At 57.0% G+C, this 6,945-nt stretch overlaps 1 protein-coding gene across 1 annotated transcript in view, besides 1 other annotated feature; it reads left to right on the top strand.

The window, feature by feature from the left end:
- Positions 2,924–3,852: an enhancer, noted in NCBI's record as "H3K4me1 hESC enhancer chr11:44331667-44332595 (GRCh37/hg19 assembly coordinates)". NCBI's record gives its function as "activates a minimal SCP1, AML or CMV promoter by ChIP-STARR-seq in naive and primed H9 embryonic stem cells {active_cell/tissue: H9 hESC(naive and primed)}" and the evidence as "EXISTENCE:reporter gene assay evidence [ECO:0000049][PMID:30033119]".
- The window catches only part of ALX4 (ALX homeobox 4), a 49,700-nt gene continuing 46,584 nt past the window's right edge, over positions 3,830–6,945 (top strand). The window contains exon 1 of the mRNA NM_021926.4: positions 3,830–4,372. Within this exon, the coding sequence (NP_068745.2) occupies positions 3,907–4,372 (466 nt within the window). The 5' untranslated portion in view covers positions 3,830–3,906. The remainder of the gene's footprint in view (positions 4,373–6,945) is intronic.

The following is a 6,945-nucleotide window of genomic DNA, read 5'->3' as shown; positions in this document are numbered from 1 at the left end:
TACATCCTTGCTTAAGAACCAGATGGGAGTGGTTCCACTTTCAACTACGGAAGGACCAATAGAGGAACAAATGATTGAACACAAACAGAAATAACCAGCTGCTCTTATTACCACAGTCCCTGGAATGTTTTGGAAGGGACCTAGGAGAGGGAGTCGGTGGAGGTTTGCATGAGGGCTTCAGGTCACACATTCAAAGGACTTGCCCGGAACGTTGTCCCCAAGGCACTTTCTCACTTGTTGGCACTCGCTCATTCTTCCTGGATGCATCTATAAGATAAAATGCGGAGGACTAAAGGCGCTCGTTCCAAGGACACAGGGTCTCAGGCAAGACAGGAAAGATTCTGGCTTAGGGCATGAAATCCTTGGGTTTGAATATCCAGGTGGTCAGGGAAAGGTTGAATAGCGAGGCAGTAATTAAACAGGTAATACAAGCTCAGAGTGTTTAGGTGGTAAGAGGCGAGGTGATGCTCAAAAAATGCTTCATGAAACACAGCAAATTTTTGCATTGGGTGCGCCTGGTTCAGAGGTTCTAGGAAGAGTGTACAATTGCAATTGTTCCTGTCTCGGGGTTGTCATCCCCACCCCAACCCTCTCCACCACAATTTGCCTCTCATAGTCCTTCCCTCATTTTTTAGACAGGAATGGAGGTGGAGAAAGAAGCGGGGGTATTGCCACCACCTTCTGGGTGCCTACAGGCAGCTGCTGGGCACAGGAGACTGGAGTAGGCGGCTGGCTTGGAACTCCTTGACAAAAAAATGCATCTCTAAGCCCCTGGGAACCATAGGACACTTTCATTCATTCACTCAACAAGCATTTTATGAGTGCCAAGCCCTACAGCGAACAAGACAGACCTGGCCCCTGCTGTGAGAAAACTCACTGCTCTCAAGGCACAGGCTCAGGAAGGTCCAGCACGCTGTTAATTCCGCTACTTGATTTTTGAAGAGGGGGTGGGTGGGTGACCAGCTGTCCTTGACTAAGGGAAACCAAAGAAAGAGTCTCAGAACTTGGTGCTGCACTGAGCAGTTGGAATACACTGAGGTGATAGAGTCCTACAGCCCCAGGTTTAATCTTTATTTTATTTTATTTTTATTTATTTATTTTTTTTTTTGAGACGGAGTCTCACCCTGTCGCCCTGTCGCCCATGCTGGAGTGCAGTGGCACAAACTCGGCTCACTGCAAGCTCTGCCTCCCTGGTTCACGCCATTCTCCTGCCTCAGCCTCCCAAGTAGCTGGGACTACATGCGTCTGCCATCACGTCTGGCTAATTTTTGTATTTTTAGTAGAGACAGGGTTTCACCGTGTTAGCCAGGATGGTGTCGATCTCCTGACCTTGTGATCCATCCTCCTTGGCCTCCTAAAGTGCTGGGATTACAGGTGTGAGCCACCGCGCCTGGTCCAGGTTTAATCTTTTATTCCACAAATATTTGTGGGGTGCCAGGCACGTAGGAGGCTGCCCTGGGGCAACTAGTGGGGTTGAGATACACTCATAGCCAGGCAACCAGACAACCACGAGATCTGGGACGGAGATGAGGCAAACGGAAGCGTCAACTTAAACTAGGAGAGACGGGAAGTCTTCCTAGAGGAAGATGCTCTAGGCTGAACTCTGAATCATTAGCCAGACAAAAGTGCAGGAATGAGTTTAGGGAATTCCAGGTAGGGGAAACCACCTATGCTACAGTGCACAGGCTAGAGACCTTGGCAGGTTCTAGGAACTTGAAGAAACCGCTGGACAGGAGCATTTAGGATGATGGCAGGAGCACTCCGCTTTTTGCTAACTGGAAAATTATTTTGGTTGAGTCTCAGTCTACCCATATGCAAAATGGGTATGATAAGCCTTGTATTGCCAGATTGTTGGCACAACAGGAGCTCAATAAATAAAGGACTCTCAAGTGGCTTAGGTCTGCGGGCCAGTGAGGCGCGGTTCCCATTGGGCATGGAGTGGGGGGCGGCTGGAGCCTGCGCGCTCCTGGCTTGGTTTGCGGAATATCTTTATTAACGAGCACTTCAAGGTAAGCCGGCGATGGAAACCAGATGTGGGATCGCGCGGTCGGCGGCGGAGCAAGGACCAGAGATACTAAGGGGGTAGGGTGGGGGTAAGAATTAGCCCAGATGAGATTGGGAGCAGAAGCGCGACCCCCCAGGTATATTTTTTCTTTGGGAGACCTTAGATGCAGAAAGTTGACATCTGACCCACATTCCTTGGTTCACGGTGCTCAGGCCCTCTTTAATTTTACCTTGCACTTTTACCTCTCACCCTACTCCCAGACTCCCTAGAGGTACGTTCTCGCTTAACGATTTTCTCAGCGGTTTAAGGAAGGCTGCTCTCGCTGGTCTCCTTCAACTTGAACCATTCCACAGCCGGGGGCCAGTTTCCCCTCTGCATCTACGCTGTCCGCACGGCCTTCCAGGTCGGTGGAGGGACTAGCCTGAGCAGAGGTTCCAGGGCGCGACGGCTATTTCCCAGCTGTGTGACCTGGACCAGGTGGCCGCCCCTCTCTGAGCCTCCGTTAGCTCATCAGAAAATTGGGGGCGCCAATCTCTAGCACGGTTGTCATGAAGCGAAATCGAGGGGCTGCACGCGCAAAGTTTTTTCCCTTGCTGTGGCGGTGCCAGGGGCCTTGAGGCTCGCAGTGGTGGTGAAACCACAACCTATCAAAACCAAGCAGTTCGTTTTACAGTCGGGGGCAGTGAGGCCAGAAAGGGAAGAGACGGTCTCACCCCTCTCCCCGACCCCTGACCCCAAGGAGTGAACAGGTGACAGCGCGACTATCGGGCAAGGTCAGGGGGTCTCCAGAGTCCGCTCTCTGTACTTCGCCTGGCAGGAAATCCCCTCGCCTGGGCGCAGACGTGGGGCGTGAACGGTGCGGCCTCTAGACGGGAGCGCAGAGGGCAGCGCTCTAAAGCTTCTGAAGCCGGGCCCAGCCCAGGGCTTCTCCAGGGCTTGAGGGAGCACAGATTCCGCTACATCCCAGCCCAGCGCCCTTACAGCAGAGGGAAATAGTTAACAAGACGTGCAAGTGACCATGCACTGGACGACGAAGGCTTGTGTGTGTGTTAATCTCCCGTAGGAACGGGAATGGGGAGGAAGGTTGGAAACCTAGGAAAAGGTGCCAGCGGGAAGGCCCGCAGCGGCGCCCGCGAGCTCGCGCGCAGGAGTCCGTAGGACTCGCTTGCATCCGCAGGCCCGTGGTCCCCCTGGCTTCGAATGTCAAAACCTGTTAGGTTTATTTTGGGGGGCTTTTTTTTAACCTGTCATTAAAATTTGCATTTCCCTTTGCCCTAAGGCAAAGCTCCGACACCCCGCCAATTCTCAGCCTAGCCTCGGGAGCCCTGGGGATCCTGGCATCTCCCCAGCCCCGCCTAGAATCGGAAAAGCCCTCGGGCGCCTCCGGGTTGAATCCCCGCTAGCGAGTTAGTAGCATCTCCTTAAGAGTGGAGAGGAGGGGGCAGGGGCCAGTGGAAGGAGAGAGGAGGAGGGGACGAGAGAGGGGGAAAGGAAGAAGCAAGGCAGGGAAAAAAATTTACTTATTTTTTTTTTCCGCTGCAAAACCTTAAGAGGGTTTGGGAGATCTGGTCAACTTTCCGAAACATCTGAATCTTTTTACTGCCCTCCGTTCTTTCCCTCGGCTAGCTGTGGGGAGGGAGGAAAGAGAGAGAGGGAGAGAGAGAGGAAGGGGGGGGGAGGGAGGGGAAGAGAGAGAGAGGAGGGAGAGAGAGGAGAGAGACAGAGAAAGAAGAGGGGGAGAGAGAGAGAGGCCGGCGTGGAGGGGAGGAGGGAGAGCGAGCAGGCCGGGCAAGGAGTGCACAGCCACAGCCTCCTCGCCTCCCCAAACTCCCAGCCAAGGCGCGCGGTGGCGTCCTCGCGCCCTCGCTCGCGTCCCCGCCCGCCGCCTGCGCAAGCCAGGCATGAATGCTGAGACTTGCGTCTCTTACTGCGAGTCGCCGGCCGCTGCCATGGACGCCTACTACAGCCCGGTGTCGCAGAGTCGGGAGGGCTCGTCGCCTTTTAGGGCATTTCCCGGAGGCGACAAGTTCGGCACAACTTTCCTGTCGGCCGCCGCCAAAGCACAGGGATTCGGGGACGCCAAGAGCCGGGCCCGTTACGGCGCTGGGCAGCAGGACCTGGCGACACCCCTGGAGAGTGGAGCTGGGGCGCGGGGCTCCTTTAACAAGTTCCAGCCCCAGCCGTCGACCCCGCAGCCCCAGCCGCCGCCGCAGCCGCAGCCGCAGCAGCAGCAGCCGCAGCCCCAGCCGCCCGCGCAACCGCATCTTTACTTGCAGCGAGGCGCCTGCAAGACGCCCCCGGACGGCAGCCTCAAACTCCAGGAAGGCAGCAGCGGCCACAGCGCGGCCTTGCAGGTTCCCTGCTACGGTGAGTGCACGTGCGGGTCACCTGGTGCTGGGGACCACGGGGTGCTTGGCTTCCGCATCCCTTGAAACTGGTGGCTTGCGGGAGGTATGAGTTGGCGGGCTGGGGGCGGGGTGGTGACTCTGGTCGGTAAACGGGATCGATCGCTGCGAGGGAGCCAAGGGATCTGTTCTGTCTCCTTCTTGTCCGCCGGCCTAGGCACGGAGCGTTTCGGCTGTTAAACTCGACTTGGAGTTTGTTTTTCCCGGTCCCTTCGGCATTTCCCCAAACCGCTCGCTTTGCGCTGCCCGCTGGGCGGGATTTGAAGCGGATGCTTCTTACCGGCCCAGGGCGTGCGGCGGCAAGGAGTCTCCGCGCAGCGCTCTGGCGCTGGGCTGCGGGGCTGCGGGGCTGCGGGGCTGCGGGGCTGCGGGGCTGCGAGGCTGCGGGGCTGCGGGGCTGCGGGACAGCAGGACTGCAGAAGCCTCGCTCCTCGCCGGCTGGGAGGCTCCTCGGGCGGCGCCGCCGCAGGTGAGAGCGCCGCAGGTGCGGAGCCAGGCGGGAAGCCCGGAGCGTGGTTGGCCGAAAGCTCACGGGAAATCCAGGCGCACTGGCGCAACACAGTGCGGAGCCAGAGACCCTAGGGTCCCAGGGGACACTGTGGTCTGGCAAGACCCGAGTCCTGGGACCCTGAGCGCTACTGGCAGTGGGGATGCGGGCAGGCCAGTTCCCCTGGAGCTTCTCCCTCGGCGATTCTTGGAGGCGGCAGGCCTCTGAACAATGGTTTAGGACAGAGTAGGAAGGGAGACAGGAAGTCCCGAGTCCCAGGTGGCCCAGAGCTGTGGCAAGAGAGAAGGGTCTGGGTCCTGATTTGAGCCCACGGGGAACCCGGGGGAGCTGGCCTAAATGACCTCCAAGCTGCCTTGAACGCAGCCACAGGAGGCAGGCCTGGGCCCCCCAGAGCACAGCCACCATTGCCCGGGAGAGAGAGACACTCAAGGACGTCTCTAGCCAGAGCAGCTCAGTAGCCTAGGCCTTCTCTTCTTCCAGAGAATCGGGGTTCCTGAACCCCAAAGCGGAAGGGGAAGCAAAGACGCAGAAAGGGAAAAACCTTCTCTGGGCCAGGAGTCCTGAGCACATACCCGGAGGCCTTGGCCTTCAGGTCCGGCCCTGGTGGGAAGAGTTGGGGGCAGGGAATTTGCCCTGATCCAGGCTGATGGAGAGGCACTAGGCCTGGGGACAGAGGCTGGGACACGGCGGAGGCCTTGGTGGCTAGAATAACTTTGGGAAAACAGCCGATGGCAGATATTTTCTCGTATTCAGGTTCCTTCTTTCACAGGCGCAGAACTAGTTCATAGATGGCTGCTGACAAACATTCACAGTCATATGCTTGTCTACAATTGCACTCTACACACACACACGCAGAGAGCATCTTCTTTAGGAGCCGATGTGGTCATACCCCAAGAACACATGCCCATGTGGCCTCGAATGAGCCACATACTCCCAAACCCATAGGACAGAACTGAGAGAAGATTTAGAAAGATTCAGTGGCCCTTCCCCACTTCCTCCACCTTCCTCTTCACCTCCAGTTGGAATGAGATCAGGCATTCAGATCACAGACCCCCAAGGCTCCACACACAGACACCCACAGCTCCACATGCAGGCACACACAGTTCCACACACAGACACCCACTGCTCCACACACAGACACCCACAGCTCCACACACGGACACCCACAGCTCCACACACGGACACACACAGCTCCACACATGGACACACACAGCTCCACACACAGACACACACAGCTCCGCACATGGACACACACAGCTCTCATACAGGCACTCTTTCCGTGCTAAGCCAGCAGAGACTCTCAGCCCTGTCCGTACTGGCTGTCCTTCCCAGCCCAGGGATGCAGGCCCCAGCTCGTCCCTGTCATTCAGGACTATTAGGTGAGGGCAGGTCGCAGACTAGGGGACCCATGGAGGTTCATCCTGCATAGCCAGAGAGCTCATGCTCTCTCTCCACTGCATTGAATTTTCATATTTTAATGAAAATTACCAGTGAGACCTCTGAAGAGGCTGATACATTAGGCAAGAAGAGAGCCTAAGGAGCTCCCCACCTCTTGGTTAAATGCCTTCAGGTCCAGAGGGAAGGCGGAGAGGCCTGGCCTCCCCTGAGCCCTCTCTCTGTGTCCTGCTGGGCCCCCACAGCCAGCCTGGCCCTTCCTCTACTTGCACTAGCCTTTGGAGCTGACGGAAAGGGCCAGCCACTTGACCCGCTACTGCCCCTAACCCGTGGCAGTGTGACCTGACAGCAAACACCTTCCCAAACCCCGGTTTCCTCATCTGCATCCTGGGGTGATAACAGAAAGGCCTTACTGGGTCATAAATGTGCCTCTGCAGAGACAGCAAGAGGCAAGAGCAAGAGCCCCCGCTACCCCTGCCCCTCCCAACCCCCACCCACATTTCCATCCCTATCTATCTCCGAGCCGCTGGGAACTCGAGAGCACCCAATTCTGAGGACAGGGCAAGTCCCTGCCACTGCTCTGGGTCATAAACTGCAGGCTGGGACCAAAGGCAGCCTGTAACTACCGGCAG

This window comes from Homo sapiens, chromosome 11 (assembly GCF_000001405.40).
Source record: "Homo sapiens chromosome 11, GRCh38.p14 Primary Assembly".
Classification (NCBI taxonomy): domain Eukaryota; kingdom Metazoa; phylum Chordata; class Mammalia; order Primates; family Hominidae; genus Homo; species Homo sapiens.
This window is presented reverse-complemented; position numbering and strand designations above follow the sequence as displayed.